This window comes from Homo sapiens, chromosome 4, assembly GCF_000001405.40.
Source record: "Homo sapiens chromosome 4, GRCh38.p14 Primary Assembly".
Lineage (NCBI taxonomy): Eukaryota > Metazoa > Chordata > Mammalia > Primates > Hominidae > Homo > Homo sapiens.
The window spans coordinates 77,739,409-77,759,124 of record NC_000004.12 but is presented as its reverse complement, the minus strand read 5'-3'; the positions used below and the strand labels follow the sequence as shown (position 1 = coordinate 77,759,124).

At 34.0% G+C, this 19,716-nt stretch overlaps 1 protein-coding gene across 19 annotated transcripts in view; it reads left to right on the top strand.

Moving 5' to 3' along the window:
- The window catches only part of CNOT6L (CCR4-NOT transcription complex subunit 6 like), a 106,883-nt gene that overhangs the window by 61,145 nt on the left and 26,022 nt on the right, over window positions 1-19,716 (top strand). For 12 of the 19 annotated variants that reach the window (NM_001387835.1, NM_001387839.1, NM_001387836.1 and 9 more), the window contains 4 exons: window positions 2,174-2,263; window positions 10,741-10,809; window positions 14,250-14,407; window positions 16,830-16,984. In NM_001387835.1, coding sequence (NP_001374764.1) covers window positions 2,174-2,263; window positions 10,741-10,809; window positions 14,250-14,407; window positions 16,830-16,984 — 472 coding nt within the window. Of the gene's footprint in view, window positions 1-2,173; window positions 2,264-10,740; window positions 10,810-14,249; window positions 14,408-16,805; window positions 16,985-18,921; window positions 19,018-19,716 lie in introns of all 19 variants that reach the window. The other 7 variants (NM_001365006.1, XM_011531809.2, XM_011531806.4 and 4 more) reach the window with 2 other exon arrangements.

The following is a 19,716-nucleotide window of genomic DNA, read 5'->3' as shown; positions in this document are numbered from 1 at the left end:
CCTCTTCAGATATTGCCTTTTCTCACTTCTCTCTCTAATCTCTCTTTCTGGCTAGGAGTTAAATATGTTTACTGTTTGCTGTAGGTGTTGATGTAGTGGTAAGGTGCGGAGGGGGAGGAAGTGCCCTATAGTCCTGTAATTAGGTCTGCCTTAGTGAGCCAGAGTTGACTATTTCCCTACTTGATGTCAAAGTCTAGAGAGGGCATTTATCTTACTCTAGGTCTGTTAAGCTTTGGGAAAACTTAGATTCTGGTAAAATAGTTTCCTTTGAAGATAGTACTTACTAAGGAGAACATTACTTTCTCTTGCCCCCTTTTGGAAGAATGAGGAGATTTTTCTCCAGTCTTTATAGTAAGACTCGTGGAAGTAAAACTTAGGAAAGTGTGGGAATGCCCTAAGACTAGGCCCTCTTGGAGTTTTTAACTCTCAAGCTAATCTACATGGAGCCTCCAGTAATTTGTCAGTTACACTTTAAAGTGTTCTAGTTCTAGTTCTAGCTGTGGACTTCTGCTGCCAGTAAGTTGTGATTCTCTGTATCTGCTTGTTTGTGTTTGGGACAGCAGTTTGTCCTATAACCTCAATTGTGAGGACAGGAGTGACAGCTTTTAAAATCTTTACATGTTGGATCAGAACTTAAGTCTTGTTCTTCTTTCTAGAACTCCAATTTCATATAGTATTCTAACTTCTGTATCTTTTACTGTCTTATGTTTTCCATCTTTGTGACTCTCAGTGACGCATTTTGGATAATTTTCTTTGAATCTGTTTTTCTTGATGACTGATTTTCTTTTCAGCTGTGTCTAATCTGCTGCCTAACTCATTCATCAAGAGTTTTTTCCCCCTAGTACTTGGAGTTATAATTACATTCAGTAAAATATCCAAATATTTAAAATCCAGTTTCACTAATTTTGACAAAGGTATACACCTTAATAGCCAGCACCTAAATCAAGATAGAATATTTCCGTCACCCTAGGAAGTTTCCTCTTCTCACTTGCAAGTCAATTAGAAACTACCAACCAGACTTCCAAAGTATTCATACCATTTACCAGTAATTGAATTGAAGTAGAAGAGTTCAAGGTATTCTGCATTCTTTGTAACATTTGGTTGGTCATTAAAAAAATTTGTTTAGGCCAAGCAGAGTGGCTCATGCCTGTAATCCCAGCATTTTGGGAGGCCAAGGCGGGCGGATCACTTGAGGCCAGAAGTTCAAGAGCAGCCTGGCCAACATGATAAAACCTTGTCTCTACTAAAAATACAAAAATTAGTGGGCGTGGTGGCGGGCACTTGTAGTCCCCATCTGCTTGGGAGGCTGAGGCACGAGAATCACTTGAACCCGGAAGCTGGAGGTTACAGTGAGCCCAGATTGTGCCAGTGCACTCCAGCCCAGGCAACAGAGTGAGACTGTCTCAAAAAAATTTGTAGCTGTGCTGGTGGGTATGTGTTGCATTGAAGGTTTGGTTGATTTGTTATTTAACAGAACCTTCAATTTTGGAAGTTCTTTGGTTTTTATTTTTTCAAATTTGGATGCTAGACTGTTGTTGCATGCTTGTCTTAATGAATACCTCCTTTATTTCTTAAGGGACTATATAGTCTGTTACCAATAGTGTGTTCTTTGATGTATGATAAATCTGTACTCTTAGTACTCACACATTCCTAATTACTGTTATAACAAAATTCTTTTCTTCTCACATTTCACTCACATATCTTGGTAACACATTTTCTTCTTACTTGAAATACGTTTGTTTTCCCTATATGTAATATAAATATTCTACGAAGACCCTTCTTTTTTAAGATATCACTCATTCTTTCTCCTATATGGCTATTTGAGTTTGTCTGTGGTCTTAAAAGATAAATGCAGGTTTTCAAAGATTAATGTAGAACCTATAGGATTACTTCAAGGTGCCAGGTTGTGATATTACTTCAGAATTGACTATGATTAATATATATGCTTTTATGTATATGTGTATATATGTTTTGGACAAGCCCAAATTTTAGAGTTCTTAAAGAAAATATTTATTTACACATACATTTTTAAATGTATATAATAGATTAAATATAGTAGAATTCAATTTAAGAAATTGAATTTAAGAAATTAGTATTTTATTTTATAGTATACATTTCTGTCTTGCCTTGCAGTTATAAGTTTTAAAGGTTTTATTTTTGTCTTCTGCTTTAGGCAATCCTTTATCACAGGATATTCTCAACTTATACCAGGACCCAGATGGAACCCGAAAGCTACTGAACTTCATGCTTGACAATCTCGCAGGTAACTGTTAGTGACAAAGCTGTAAAATAAATTCTACAGATATTATGAACTAGCTAATATATGTTCCTCAAGAGCATCTGACTGTTTTTTATAATTGCCTATGGGTTTGGAGTTCCTTCCATTGTATATCCTACGTTAGTGGAACATTCTTCTTTTCATATACTGAATGTTTTCTATTTACCAAGCAATATGTTAGGAGATTAGTTGCATTATTTTGTTTAAGAACCTAGGACATAGGAACTTTAACTCACAGTTTAGAGATGCAAATTCTGAGATTCAGAGACTAAAGTAATTTATTTATACATAGCTAATCAGTGCCAGAGCTGTGAATCTAAGATTATCTTGCTCTTAATCACAAAAATACACAGTTATTAGTTGTTTGCATTTGATGCAAATGACTTGGAACCCACACATTTTACACATTTTTAATGAATGAAATGACTAGTTTGATTCATTACACGTTTGTGGAAATTTTGCAGCTAGGTTTTAAATTAAGAACACCAGATTTATTTAAATACAATTTAAAATCATTGTATTCCAAATGGAAGTTTTCTTCTATAAGAATACCAGGCTGGATGTGGTGGCTCACACTTGTAATCCTAGCACTTTGTGTGGCCGAGGAAGGCGGATCACCTGAGGTCAGGAGTTCTGAGACCAGCCTGGCCAACATGGTGAAACCATGGTGAAACGTCTCTACTAAACATACAAAAATTAGCCAGGCGTGGTGGTGCGTGCCTGTAATCCAAGCTTCTCTGGAGGCTGAGACAGGAGAATCCCTTGAACCTGGGAAGCAGAGGCTGCAGTCAGCTGAGATCGTGCCGCTGCACTCCAGCCTGGGTGACAGAGCGTGACTCTGTCTCAAAAAAATATATATTAAAAACAAAAACAAAAAAAGAAGACTATTAGGTATTTGATTTAAAACTTTTTTTTTTTTTTGCCTAAGCTCTGAAAATATGAGTAAAAGTATGGAGATACTACTGCATACAAATATTTTTCTTAGCATGATGTCTTTCTGAAATAACAGAATTCTGAAACAGCTAGAAAAATCATAAGTTCCAGCATAGTGGCCATGATGACATTTTGGCTATATTCTTTTAAAATTCTCTTTATCGTAAGACGCCCTTCTTCCCCACTCCTTCACATAAAGTAAGGTTTATAATAAGGTAAAACTAAATTAATATTATCTGAAAAGTTTATGGCTAAAAAGACTAAAAGTTGATCAATAGAAATCAGCAAATTTATTATAGAGGCGTTCTTAGTAAAGAATTAGGAATATGTGGCAATTTAATGAAGCTGTATACATAGCATGTGTATGCTGTTTCTAACTTACTTTAAAATTAAATATCTCGGCCGGGCATGGTGGCTCACGCCTGTAATCCCAGCACTTTGGGAGGCCAAGTGGGGAGATCACGAGGTCAAGAGATCGAGACAATCTGGCTAACACGGTGAAACCTCATCTCTACTAAAAATACAAAAAATCAGCCAGGTGTGGTGGCACGTGCCTGTAGTCCCAGCTACTTGGGAGGTTGAGGCAGGAGAATCGCTTGAACCCGAGATTGCGCCACTGCACTCCAGCCTGGGCGACAGAGCGAGACTCCGTCTCAAAAAAAAAAAAAAAAAAAAAAAAAAAAAAAAAAACTCTTGTCTCTATAGATGTAGCCAGTCAATCCAGCCATATGTGTGTGCTGTGTGTGTGTCATTTGTAAGGAGTTCTTGTATGTTTTAGATGTAAGCTTTTTTTTGGTAATATGTTGCAAATATGTGCTCCCATGCTATTATTAAATTTTTCGTTCTCTTAATTTGTCTTTTGACAAACAGAAAAATTTTAATGTACTCCAGTCCAATTTGTTGATCTTTTTTGTTATGGTACCGCTTTTATCCTTTTTAAGAATTTTTTGATACCACAAGATCATGAATATATTCTCCTATGTCATTATCTAGAAACCGGTTTTTTTTTTTTTTTTTTTTTTTTTACTTCTAATGTTTAGAATTAGGTTTTATGACTTTTCCATATGTATTTTATATTGACTCTGAGCCATTTATTGATTAGGTTGTCCTTTCACTATTGTTTTTTAATGTCATCTTTGTCATAAATCAGGTGTCAATGTATGTGTAGGTCTATTTCTGGATTCTTTATTCTCTTCCATGAGTCTTTATAGCAATGTAACAGTGTTTAATTATGGACAGCTTTATAAAAAGTCTTGAGATCCAGTAGAGTAAGTCTTCCCCCTTGACCTATTCTAAAGAATTTTGGCTAGTTCTGGCATCTGTGTTCTTTTACCTTGTATTTTTATTAAAATTTTTAGAACGAGGTTTTTAAATCTCTCCCCTCTCTAAAATGTAGAGATTTTATTTGGGATTATATTGAATCTATAGATGGCTTTGGAAATAATTGATATGTTTACAACAGTGGATCCTATTCTATTTGTTACGCTTTTTATAATTTCTCTCAGTAGTTTTAAGTTTCTATGTAGTGGGCTTGCCCATATTGTATTACATTTATTCTAAATACTAACTTCTTAATTCGCTTAAAAATAGTCATTTTAAAGATTTATCTAACTTAATGGTTGTTACTGATTAATGGAATACAATTGAGTTTTGTATATTTTTTGGTATTCAGTCATCTTCCTAAACACTAAATGCCTTGCTAAAGAACATATTCAACCACTTTGCTAAATAGTTTTTAATGCTAATGCATTTTTTATTTTAATGTATACAATTATGTCATCTGCAAGTAATGAGAGTTGTATTACTCCATTTCTAATCCTTTTAATTTTCTTGCCAACCTGCTCTTACTGCACTAACTAGCTAAAAGTGGTGATAATGGGCATCCTTGTCTAATTTCATAATTTTTGATTAAGTATCATATTCACTGTAGTTTTTGTATAGATAAACTTCATCAGATGAAGGAAGTTTTTTCTATTCCTGGTTTGCTAGGCAAGTTTTTTTTTTTTTTTTTTAACATGAGTAGATTTTGAAATTTATCAGATGCTTTTCTTTATTAAGATGAGTAGATTATTTTTATCCTTTAATATGGTAATTATATTGATGGTTTTTTTGTATGTTATACCACCTTTGGTATTCCTAGAATAAAGCCAACAAGATTATGATAAATTATTATCTTTTTATACCCTAGATTCAGTTTGCTAATATTTTATTTAGGATTTATTTATTTATTTATTTATTTTTATGAGATGGAGTTATGCTCTGTCACCCAGGCTGGAGTACAGTGGCATGATCTCGACTCACTGCAACCTCCACTTCCCAGGTTCAAGCGATTCTCCTGCTTCAGCCTCCTGAGTAGCTGGGATTAGAGGCACACACCACCACGCCTAGCTAATTTTTATGTTTTTAGTAGAAACAGGGTTTCGTCATGTTGGCCAGGCTGGTCTCGAACTCCTGACCTCAAGCAATCAGCTCACCTTGGCTTCTCAAAATGTTGGGATTACAGGTTTGAGCCAGTGCGCCCAGCCTATATAGGATTTTTTGCATCTGTGTTTATGACTGAAATTGGCCAGTACTTCTTTTTCTTCAGTGTCCTTGTCAAGTTGTGATATTAAAGTTACACTGGTTTTGTAAAATTTATTTAAGTATTTCCTTATTTTCTGTTGTTTGGAAGAATTTATTTAAGGTTGAATTTTTTTTTTCTTTCTGGGTTTTTTTTTTTTTTCTGGTAGGAAGTTTTAAATTACTGATTTAATTTCTTTAATAATTATAGTACTATTCTGATTTCCATTTCTCTTTCTATGAGTTTCTGAAAGTTGTGTTTTCTGGAAATTTGCCCATTTTATGTAAATCTTCAAATTTACGGGCCGAAAGTTGTTCAGAATATTTTATGATGTCTTAATATCCATAGGTTGTGTAGTGATGTCTTTTTTCCATTTCAGATATTAATTTATGCAGATGATAAATTATGCAGGCATTTATTAATATTTTCTTTGAAAAGAAGAACCAACTTTTAGCTTCATTGGTCTTCTTTATTGTATGTTTGTTTTCAATATTATTAATTTCTTTATTTCTTCCTTCTGGTTTCATTTGGTATTCTTTTTCTAGCTTAAGGTGAACATGCCTTAATTTCCAGTCTTGCTTTTTTTTCCTCAAATATATTTATGTATATATTTATGTATAAATATTTCTCTAAAGTGGCTTTTAGCTGTATCTCACAAGCTTTAGTTTGTATTATTTTCATTATCATTCAGTTCAGCATATTTTCTAATAGCCCTTATTTCTTCCTTGGCCTGTGAGTCATTTAGAAACTTGTTTCTTTATTTTCAGAGGAGTTCTTCCAGTTTTCTTTGTCATAGGTTCCTAGCTTAATTCCATGGTGGTTAGAGAACATATCTTGATTAATTTAAATGTTAAAAATATTTATTACCTCTGCAGATGATTAATTTTTGTAATTAAGTATGCACTTGAGAAGAATGTCTCTTCTCATTAGATGCAGTATCCTATATGTTAGTTTGTTTGTTCATTATATTGTTTGAATGTGTTAGATGTACTTAATGATTACTTTGGTTTTATTCATTACCAATAAAGCTATGTCAAAATGGTAGGTTTGTCTTTCTTCTTGTAGTTATTTCAGCTTTTCAATTACATATACTTAGGGTGTATTTTCATGTGTTTTATATTCATGGTTATTCAAACTTTCTATCTTGCTGCACATTTACTTTACTGATTCCTTGTTCTTTCCTTTTTTGGTGTTCCATTTCTGTTTTCCTTGATATTTAGAGAGTTTCCTTAGCTCACTGCAGCCTCCAACTCCTGGGCTGAAGTGATCCTCCTATCTTAGCCTCCCAAGTGGCTAGGGACTACAGGCTCCCGTCACCACGTCTGGCTAATTTTTTAATATTTTTGTAGAGATGGGATCTCACTATGTTGGCCAGGCTGGTCTTAAACTCCTGGCCTCAAGTGATCTTCCCATCTCAGCCTTCCAAGGTGCTGGGATTATAGGTGTAATCCACTGCATCTGGCCCTCTTTTAGCTATTTTTTAAGGGCAGGTCTGCTAGCAATGGAAGTGTTTTCCTTTGTCTGTTAACATCTTTATTTCCCCTTGATTTCTGAAGGATAGTTTTTCTGGATACAGAATTTCCAGTTGACAGTTCTTTTCTTTCAGTCCTTGAAAAATATTGTACCACTTCCTTAGGCTTTCATGGTTTCTTAAAAGAAATCTAGTGTCATTTGAGTTGATGTCCTATAGGTAATATGCTATTTCTGTCTGATGTTTTTAAGGTTCGTTCTTTAGTTTTCAGAAGTTTAGTTACGATCTGTCTTAGCATGGATTTCTTTGGGCTCTTGATATTTGAAGTTTACTCACCTTCTTAAATTTGTTAGGTGTAAGTCTTTCACATAAATTTGGAAATGTTCACCTGTTCTCTCATAGAATACTTTTTTAGCTCCACATCCTTTCTCCTGTCCTTCTGGAACTCTGATAATACTAATCTAGATATTTTTAAAAAATTATAGTTCCACAGGTTTTTTCAGGCTCTGTTCATTTGTTTCAGTCTGTTTTCTTTTTGTTTTTCAGACTAAGTTCTCCTGATTCGTTCTCAAGTTCACTGATTTTTATCTTTTGGCATCTTTATTATTGTGCCTTTCCAATGACTTTTAAAATTTAAGTTATTGTATTTTTCAGTTGGATAATATCTATTTGATACTTTTAAAATAATAATTTCTCTGTATTTGCTGGATTTTTCTATTCTTTTCAGGGATATTTGTAATTACTTGTTCAAGCAGTTTTATGATGGCTGTTCTAAAATCTGTCAGATATTTCAACATCTGATTCAGCTCAGTGTTGGTGTCTGTTGGTCTTTTAACACTTAAGTTGTGATTTTCCTGGTTCTTGGTATGACCAGTGCTTTTTATTTGTACCCTGGACATTTTGGATATTATGTTAGGAGACTTCTGATGCTTTTTAAATCTGTGATTTCAGCAGACAGTTACCCTGTTTAGGTTTAGCATGTAGATTTGGTTTGTCTCTTCAGGTTCAGCTGACACCTGCACTGTAGGCAGATCAGGCCTAGTGCTGCCAGTCAGTGTTAGGTGTGGGGAGGAAGGTTGGCTCTCTTGAGCTCTGTTGAAGATTGGGTCACCAATATATTTATTTATTGTATGTGATAGTAGCCCATATAACTCTTTATTTCTTTGTTTTGTCATATCATTGGTGATATCATTTGGCCATGTAGTTTCATCTTTAAAAAACCTGACTTTAGGCCAGGTGCAGTGGCTCACGCCTGTAATCCCAGCACTTTGGGAGGCTGAGGCAGGCGGATCACAAGATCAGGAGATCGAGACCATCCTGGCTAACATGGTGAAACCACGTCTCTACTGAAAATACAAAAAAAATTAGCTGGGTGTGGTGGTGGGCGCCAGTAGTCCCAGCTACTCGGGAGGCTGAGGCAGGAGAATGGCGTGAACCCGGGAGGCGGAACTTGCAGTGAGCTGAGATGGCGCCACTGCACTCCAGCCTGGGTGACAGAGCAAGACTGTCTCAAAAAAAAACAAACTGACTTTAAATGCATGTCTCACATGAATATATTATCCTTTTGTAAAAAAAGTTAAAATTCCTGTTATGATTAAAATTTCTTTTAATCATTACTTTTAATCACAGTCCCTTCCATGCAGGTAATCATACTTGTGAGTTGGGTGTATATCCTTTTACTTTCTGGTAGGCATTTACATACAAAAATTATACCAGCAGAAATTTTATACTATAACTTTTAGTGTATGGTTTAAACATTTTTAAATAAAATATATCACATTTTGTTATTCTATTTTTTTCTACTTCTTTTTACTCAACAGTATTCCATGGATATATTTCCACTTGAATACATATTTATCTTTTTAAACTATAGCATAGACTTTCTTAAAATGGATATTATTTAGCCATTTACTATTGCTTTCGTTAATATAAACAATGCTGTAATGGATATCTTTTTGAATCCTGCTTAAAGAAGATAGGGCTGATCCCAGGAAATAGAATTTTACTCAGTCATAGGGACATGGGTGTTTTAAATTTTAAAAGATGCCAGTTTGTTCTCAAGATAGCTGTACTAATTTATATTCCTACCAGCTGTACATGCTGTTTATCGCCATCACCAGTCCTGGATGTTATTGAACTTAAAAATTTTGCGTGAACTTGGGTAACAAATATGCCATCTCATCTTTTTTAATTTTGCTGGTTAGTAGTGAGATAGAGTATTCGCTCATATTATGTTTTTGGCTCTTTGGATATTGTTGATTGCGTTATACTTAAACTGCTACATTGTGATACACTAGTTAAGATTTGGAAGCACCAAAATGTTGATATTATATTACCTGTTTTATTTTAGAAGTTTCTGGATTTCTGAATTTTTAAGCAAGCCAGCTTAGGTAGATTTTGCTAATTAAGGATCCCAATAGCTAGAAATTTTTTTGTTTACTCTTTCTGTTTCTATATTAGATTTTTCATTTTTGAGACACTTGCTGTGACTCTGCCATGGCACTCACATAGCCAGAAGATTGTTTTCTGGGATTCAGTATGTTGAACAAGCTGGATGATTTGTCTGTCATCTTATAACCTTCTTTTCTTTCCTGGCAAGATATGGAATATATGAAATAGAGTTCATTCTACTCTGTGAAAAGTATGGCTGCTAAAACAGAGTATCATATAGGTAGACTTTCAGAACACCAAAACTGTTAATAAAGTGACAGTTTTAAAGATCTGGGCTACTTTGGTCAAAATTTCTGTGGCTAGATAAAGATGGAGTGTTGTTTTAAGGGAATACATTTCTCAGCCATTAATGCCATGGGCAAATCTGCAAACTTGAATCAAGTTGTACTGTAATTTCAAAGATTTTGAAAGGAAAAGAAAAGGGGGTAGTTAAATCTTAACTCATCTGGTAGTTAGGTAGCATTTAGTTCCATAGTATTGATAACCATATCTGAGCAATTAATGTCTAACAAGTGCCTACCTTTTTTCTGCATAATGTGGTTCTATCCTTATCTCTTGTTTTGTGCTGACATTATAAAAGAGTAAAATCAGAAAATGAAGGCCCCACTAGAAAATTCACTAACTTTAATACATCCATATGTACTTTTTTCTGTTTTAAAGATGTTTGAGTATTTTAATTCATCAGGGTTGGAATTTCAGATGGCTTTGATTTCCCACAAGGCTAAGTCAATACAATTTACATATATAATTAGAAACTTAAGATTTTACATAGGGTTTTAAATAGGTACTTTTCGTAAATACCATGTAAGTGAAAATGCCATTAATGAATTTCCTAATGTTATTTTCTTGTATTAGTTCTGTGTTCTCTGCATAGCTTTTCTGAAATTTCCTTTGGCTCCTTAATCTTCATTAAATTTCAGCATTAGATTAAGTCAGTTTGCAGGCCGTTACAGCAGAATAGAAAACAGAAGTGTTTTTGACATTATAAACACATTTCAGATTTCAGAAACACATGAAATTAACCTATATTTACAAAATTTTTTTCAGTTCATCCAGAGCAGCTTCCTCCGAGGCCATGGATTACATTAAAAGAACGAGACCAAATTCTGCCGTCAGGTAAATAGTTTTTCTTATTCTTCCTTTTTTTTCAGAAATTCTTAAAATGTTATTTGGGCTTCATGATCTGTAATAAATAAGACTTCATTTTTACCTTTCATGGGTAGATGCATTTAAAAATACTGATGGATAGACTTTTAAAAAGTCCACATTAAGATAGACCTGTCAATAGGTGTCTTATATCTTTCACAGTAATGCAGCCCTTGGTTTTAAAATTATTTCTGTAATACAGCTTTCCAAATAGCATCTTCATAGAGAGTATTGGGTGATTTAAGATTTAAGTAATGCAGCCCTTGGTTTTAAAATTATTTCTATAATACAGCTTTCCAAATGGCATCTTCATAGAGAGTATTGGGTGATTTAAGAAAAATGAGAACAATGATATTTCTTGTGAAAAATTTTAAACTACTGAGAAGTACTTGATCTTTCTTGAGAGATAGATAACATTTATGGAAGAATAATGTAGACTAGACATATATTTACTATACTGGCAACAAAGTATAATACCAGCCCAGGGGTGTAGAAGTAGTACATAGTATTTGAGCAATATAAGGATATAATCTAGCATTTCTAGAACTGAAGTAATGTAGAAAACATAAGCCTTTATCTGTTTGCAGGGACCAATAATGGTTTGACATTTATAAAGCTTCTTCATATTTGACATTTTAGGCTTGGGAATTCTACTTAAAATAAGTTATGAATTACCGTTTTTCGAAATGTCTTTTTTTTAATCACAAGAGTAATAATTTTCATGATATCTAATTTCATTTTAAAATTAAATGAAAATTCTAAGTGTTTGGATATGAAGATTAAACCAGTCACAGAATAGTACTACATTAATAGATTTTGGCTGGGCACTGTGGCTCATGCCTGTAATCCCAGCACATTGGGAGGCCAAGGCGGGCAGATCTGTTGAGGCCAGGAGTTCAAGATTAGCTTGGCCAGCATGGTGAAACCCCATCTCTACTAAAAACACAAAAATTAGCCAGGTCGTGGTAGCGCACTCCTGTAATCCCAGCTACTTAGGAGGCTGAGGCACGAGAATCGCTTGAACCTGGGATGCGGAGTTTACATACAGTGAGCCAAGATTTTGCCATTGCACTCCAGCCTAGGAGACAGAGCAAGACCCTGTCTCAAAAAAAGAGATAGTTAATTTTTAAAGGGTAAATCACAATTAGACTTTATATATATTTTGAGCAATATAAAGGCCTTTTGTTTGTGAGTTTTGGGCTTTTTTTAAGTTAAGAGGATTCAGAACAAGTCTTTTTTTTTTTTAGTATTTGGAAATGTGGGATATATAGCCTCTTCATGGTTCTATTTGCATTTTAATAACACTACAAAATATTATAATATGCAGTACATTTTTGTGTCTTTCAGAGGTAATAATTTTAAAACCAACCCACTCTAGAGCTGCAATATCAGCTTGTTTTAAGAGGCATTGTGTCAGTGTTATGAATAACATTTTTACTATCAGGTTGCATGTTGGTGTTTAAGTGAAAGGAGTACCTAAGGTTTTCTACAAAACTTAAAGCTAGATAGATTTATTTTATACTTGGCCTTTCCTAGTGTATAATTAATTATTCCCTTCTGATGTTAAAAACACCATTTTCTAATTCTTCATAGTAATCCCTTTTGAATATGAGTGAACATAATCTTGAAGAAAAGATTTTCTAATATTGCACAGCTACATTTCTATTAAGAAAAGGAACAATAGAAACAAATTTTCATTAATTGCTGAATTCTCAAAGTAATCTGTTCTTGGGTTTTCTTTATTGAAAAACTAGTGTGGACTTTTCTTGTGAGGTATGGTGCTTCTCTGAGTAGGATCTGAGTGCTGAAAAAAAGTTACTGTTAAAAATGCATTTTACTTCTGATGCATAGAGGGATGTGTATAATACTTTGTGGTGGCTAAGGGTGATTTATTGCTTAAAAACATGATAAACTATATGGAAATCAAGCCTAGATAATGAAAAAGGTCCCAGATAGAAACAGAGTATAAGAGATGAGTGGTAATAACACTTAGGTAGTTTTTACTTCTGTTTAAAAATTGCTGGTTCATTCTCAGGCACTGGCAGGGATATAAAGAGTTTTGGCTATATTATAAAAATTGCAATCTCTGATCTTTTTAATGAAATCTCAGTTTACAAAGTCTTAGGAAAAAACTGAATGAAGCAAATGGCAGTCTGCCTCTTTCGCCTTACTTCCAAATGACATTTCAAATACTGAGAAGCATAGTAAGGTAAATTCAGGGTGCTTACTTCACAGTGTAGTGGCTTGGAAATGATGCTGGGTCATTTCCAAGATAAATACTCAGAAAGTACAAAAGTCAACTCAAATTGAAATTTAGCTCCCAGTGTACAAAATGGTCACCAGTCAGACCCCCCAGGGGACTGAACTGAGTTTCTCTTAATACCTTTTCCATCATCTGAAACAGAACCAACTTCAATCAAGTGTCACTTCACTTTGAATTCCTCACGTCTTATTTAAATAAGTGATTCTCAACCATGTCTGTTCATTATAATCACCTGGGATGCTGGGATCCTTTTTAAAAATACGAATAGCTAGACTCTTAATATTTCAACTTAATTAGTCTGGAGTCAGACCCTTACTTCAGCATTTTTCTTTATAAGGTCTACAAAGTGATTCTACTAGGCAGCCAAGATGGAGAATTACTGATAAAAATCAGGGCTTTTCAGACTTTAACATGCAAGTGCATATGAATCACCTGGAGATTTTGTTAAATTGCACATCCTGTCCAAAAGAGGTGTTTATGGGGCCACAGATTCTGCATTTCTAAATTCCCAGGTGATTGATTACTGATGCTGCTGGTCTTCACAGCACAGTTTTGAGTAGCAAGGATGCAAACCATCTTCTACTATTAGTTTGCTCACAGTCTTTTTATAGTTAAAGGACATTTAAAAATGAGCATTTTATTTCAGAAATGAACATTTGATTGACAAAAACGATTCTCTTACAACTAAATTTTGTTAGTCCATACTCTTCTGCTTCAAAGTAATGATAGCAGTAGGAGGCACAAAAAATACTTAGATATTTTGTTAATAAGAGGTAATGAGATTAGAGTTCTTTAATTAAAATGCAACTACAGTTTACTTTTGTTCCACTCATTTAAAGAAGCTTTTCTCAAAGTTATAAGCAAAAAATTAGCAGATTTAAAATTTAAATTTTTTATTAAAATAAATTTCCTTAAAACTCTCAAATATAAGCTGTTAGTCTAATTCTAGACTTAATAAAATAAATTTTGTATGATAGACTCCAATGATGTTTTAGTAGATTAGCAATCTTTATCTTGCCTAGGCATTTTACAATGATGATATGTGGCGTATGTGTGTGTGCTTGTGCAGGTGTACACATGATATTGCTTTAGAAAAAGTTGCCTAATTTTCTCCCGTTTGTCTGTTGTTTTTTCTCCCACTTCTTAGCATCATTCACGGTTATGTGTTACAATGTGTTATGTGATAAATACGCTACCCGGCAGCTATATGGCTATTGCCCATCCTGGGCATTAAACTGGGAATACAGGAAAAAGGGAATTATGGAAGAAATTGTTAACTGTGACGCAGATATCATTAGTCTTCAGGTAACACCATAGAAATTAAACTGTCTTTAACTTAAAAGGTGAACTTAAACATAAGAGAAGATCTGACCACTGGGAGAGATCCTGTGTTTAGAGCCAAAGCTCAAAAAGAATTGTTTTCTCTCCTCTTAAAAATAATGGACAATTTAAATAAGCATTTAAGACATTTCCATAGTGAAACTATTTTGCTGACTGAATACAACCACCTACTTATATTTATTTACTGTTTTCTTAAGTGGAAATAATCTTACCCGTTCATGTTAATATTCACCTCATGATCATTGGTATTGCTGAAAGAGAAAACCACAGAAGATTGCCAGTCTTTTAGGAATATAAATTTACCTTGTATTGGAGTCTGTTTTTTTTTAAAAAAAAAAGCTTGCCCACAGTTATTCCTTAAACAGACATATTTTAATATATTGTACTATAAATCATGCATATTTGCCTTACCTTACTTTATAAACCATCTCTGAAATTTAGATTCTTCTGTTTTATAGCACTTTATAAATTGAACTTTACTGAAGAAGCAGCATCTTTTCATGAAATGTGTTCTGTTGCTTCAAAATTTAGCTAATGATTAGCCAAAAAGATGTTTGAATAGTTTTTAGTAACTTTTTTCTTAGCAACTTTCAAAACATATTAAGTGCTTAAAGGTTTAAAAATTTTTAATTGACAAATAATTGTATATGTTTATGGGGTACATTGTGATGTTTTGATACATATATATTTTTTTAAATGATCAAATGAGGCTAATTAACATATTCATCAACTCAGAAACTTACTATTTCTTAAAGGTGTTTAAAAATGTTGTGTGTTACAGGCCGGGCATGGTGGCTCACGCCTATAGTCCCAGTACTCTGGGAGGCCGAGGCGGGTGGATCCCTTGGGGTCAAGAGTTTGAGACCAGCCTGGCCAGCGTGGTGAAACCCCATATCTACTAAAAATGCAAAAATTAGCCAGGCAAGGTGGCGTGCACCTGTCATCCCAACTACTTGGGAGCCTGAGGCATGAGAATTGCTTGAACCCAGGAAGCAGAGGTTGCAGTGATCAGAGATTGCACCACTGCACTCCAGCCTGGATGGCAGAGCGAGATTCTGTCTCAAAAAAAAAAAAAAAAAAAAAAAAAAAAAAAAAGTTGTGTGTTACAATTTCACACATTCTTTTCATCATAGCCTGAGAGGAAAAATTATTAAAAATTTTTTTATGTAACAGAGTAGCTTGATAATTTATTTTTAGGTTGCTTGGGAAAAAAGTAAAAATCTTTTAAAATTAAAATAAAATTTCTTCTAAATACTGAGACTAACAGAGAATTGGGGAGAGGAGGCGGCAAACAAAATCAGGCTATTGTAGTTTCTTGTCTACTTCTTGGTTTAGTATTTGTAGTGATAACAGCCTCACACCCTCCTAAATATAGCAGTTTGAAGGATAGAACATAATTTAAGAAAATTGTCTTATTATAAAAGCAATGCTATAATACTATACTGTATTAAAAAGAGATCATTCTAGAGAAGTTGAAAATTTTGAAAAAATATAAAGCATGATGGAGGGAAATACCTAATTTCATGTCATAAGATAGTTGTGTTAAAACTTCTGGAGTATTTTTCTTCTATACATTAAGTAAAATATATTTACAGATACATTTTGATTCTTATTTATTGTACTTAATGGATTTTCCATGTTACTAAAATTCTTCAAAACTCATTAATTATATGAACGTATATTGATGTAGCTTTTCCCATACCATTGGACACATTTAGTTGTTTATGGGTTTTTGCTGTCATAAACTCATGCTGTTAGAAACATCTGCATACATAAATTATCTTCATATTTATTTCATTTAGAAAGACCTGTTAAAATATTTTATGAGTCAAAGAATAAAATAGACTAATAATTATTAAATTAATAGAGGCCATTGGATGATTGCGATTTAGGTACTTAAAAATTTCTTAAAGTAGAATTTTTTGTGGATAGATTTTACGTTTCTCACTCTTGGGTATCATTTCTTTCCACCATAGTTCAGAAGGATATGCAAGTTTTTAAATTACCTTTTTATATATAAATTACTATTCCCTATCACAGAATCTATCATATACCCAACTTGCTTTGTTTAGTTGCCAGTCTTGAGGAAGTAAAGTATAATGGAGTGAACTGTAAATTGGGAATCAAGAGACCTTGGGATGTAGTCCTACTCCTGTTACTATCTGTGTGAGCATGAGAAAATCATGTCACCTTTCTGGTTCTTTCATGTTTAAAAAGCTGCCATTGTCAAGTAGCAGCTGCTAGCAATCAGGTAAGATAGTAAGATAATATTTGCTATGTGAATTATTTTTACTAAGTTACATCTTACTCATAATGCTGAACATTTTTATATCTTAATCAGCATTTTCCCTCTGTCATATAGATGATAACTTTTCTTTCATCTCAGGAAGTGGAAACAGAGCAATACTTCACTCTCTTTCTGCCAGCATTGAAGGAGCGTGGATATGATGGATTTTTTTCTCCAAAGTCACGTGCCAAAATCATGTCTGAGCAGGAGAGAAAGCATGTAGATGGTTGTGCAATATTCTTCAAAACAGAAAAGTAAGTTAAGGAAACAAAGCACAATGGTGTACTTTTATTTATTTAAATGCTTACACTTTAAAATTGTCTTTGGTTTTGCCCTATAAAATCAACAGAAAGCTAGAAAACAAGTATTATGCAACTTAAAACTGTTGTTAATGTTTCATTTCTCAGGCTGTGTATTCGAAATAAGGATATTTATTGTATTATTCCTTATGCTTTTATTACCAAATAACACTGAACATTTTAAGAGATACAGACTTGAATGGTCTCATATTTCAGAACATATTTTCATGAAGTAAAGTATTAGTTTTTGTGTAAAAAAAGAAAGTGATACCTTTTAAGGTTGGCCATAAGTGATCTGGGTTTCTTTTCTGTGATTTTTTTTTAATAATTGATTTTTGAGAATCATTCATTTTAAAATCATTTATTCACTAAATGTATACTGAGCATTTGCTTTGTGATAAGTCCTGTGCTAGACACAACAGACACAAAGATAGTCAAGACATAGTTCCTAATCTCACTGAAAGCTCAAATCCAGTAGGAAAAACTAGGCATATAAGACAATTGCAATATCATATGGTGTAATATAAGATAGAGGTCTGCCTGGGTAGATAAGAGAGGCAGGCACAGAGCATATGGAGGTAGAGAGTTAAAAGGGTTGACTGAGACAGGGCAATGGAAAATGAAACGTGACATCTGATAGAGGTTGAATCCCATGGTTAATAGTTTGGATTTCATACGTTAGGAAATCATCTTACAGGATAAGCATATACATGCTTACAGCTGTTTTCCAGTATTTCCCCATTTTACATCTATTTTACCAAAGCCAATCTGTTTTTATTGATCCAAGCATATTACCAGCATGACATGCTATTTTAAGTAAACAAATTCAATGAATTTGAAAGATATTTGGTCCACTTCCCATTTATCTATGCCTACTTTCCTGTCTTTTCCATGAATTTGTAGTAGAGATATTCTTATTTTGGTTAATAATTAGTACAAAGCCTTGTAGTATTTGAGGTCAGAATATACTAAATTCTTCTAATGGTTTGGTAATTTTTTATGCATTTTAGAATAATTCTATTAAAACTACGTATCTCTTAACTACGGGAATATGTTCTGAGAAATGCATCATTAGGTGATTTTGTTGTTGTGGGAACATCATGAAGTGCACTTACACAAACCTAGATGGTACAGCACTATACACCTAGGCTATAAGGTATAGCCTGTTGTTCCCAGGCTAGAAACCTGTACAGCATGTTACTGTAGTAAATAGACAATTGTAATACAATGGCATTTGAGTCTAAACATATCTAGACGTAAAAAAGGTAATGTATTGTGCTGTGATGTTAAGACACCTACATCATCACTGGGTGATAGGAATTTTTCAGCTCCATTATAGTCTTGTGGGACTACCATCGGCATGTAGTCCCTTGTTGACTGAAATCTTGTTATATGGTATATGACCGTACTTCCAGAGTGTTTGCCATCTGTCAGCCTTTTCGAATTGTTTATATTAGTTGTCTTGTTCAAATTTTAAAGCAACTCTTACAGGCAGCTATACAGCTATTTCCTTGTTTTTAAAGATGAGGAAACCAAGGTACAGACAAGTTCAATAACTAGTTCCAGTTACACAGTCTGATTTCATAGTCCATGCTTTTAACTACTGTAATAAACTGAATCTTTAGCCTTCTTGTTTGAGCTTTTGATATCACTAATACCTCTTATAAGATTACCTCATTTAGAAAAATTGCCCTGAATTTGACATTTGTTTTTGTTTTTAGACAGGGTCTCAGAGTCTTACTCTGTCACCCAGGCTGGAGTGCAGTGGCGATCATGGCTCACTGCAGCCTCAACCTCCCCAGGCTCAGGTGATTCTGTCACCTCAGCACCCTGAGTAGCTGAGACTACACGTGCATGCCACCACACCTAACTAATTTTTGTATTTTTTGTAGAGATGGGGTCTTGCTGTGTTGCCCTAGGCTGGTTTTGAACTCCTGGGTCCAAGCAATCCACCCGCCTCAGCCTCCCACAGTGCTGGGATTACAGACGTAAGCCACCGTGCCTGACGATATTTGTTACCTATGTTCATACACAAATCCCCTTGAAACACCATAGCTTAAAAAAAAAATGCACCAGTAAACTTGAGACATCTAACATCAGGCTCTTTTTCTATTTGCTATAGTTTCTTTCAAGATAATATGGAAGATTTTTATTATTACTCTCACAGTTTTGAGAGGAAAAATCTAAAATTCCTTAACAATTTACTAGAAGTAGTTAAGGCTTTGAAATAACAGTTAGAACTGTTATCTGGGTATTTGCAAATTGATTCTTGAATTATTAAAAATGCTGTGAACTAGTTAAGTAATGAGCACATAGGAAGTACTTAGATGTGTCACCTGTTTTTCTTTTCTTCCTCAACTCTTTTTTCCTGAATAGTAACATGGATCTGGCAACAGATTGAATGTGATACATCAGTATATTGTACCTCTTTTCAACTTCTTTCCTGGAATGACAGGACTATATACCTCCTATAGGTAGAACAAAACCACCTTCTGTCCCAGTACCAGATATTTATCCATGTCTTAGCTGACTATTCAGTGCCAACTATTTGGAATTTAAAGTATTATACCCTGCCTTTATTCTTTCTTCAGACTGGAAATATAGGGCAAAAAAAGACTGTGAGTTTTGAAGCCAGGTGCTTCTTCTATTTATTTAGCTATATAATGTTGAAAGACTTAGCATTTCTG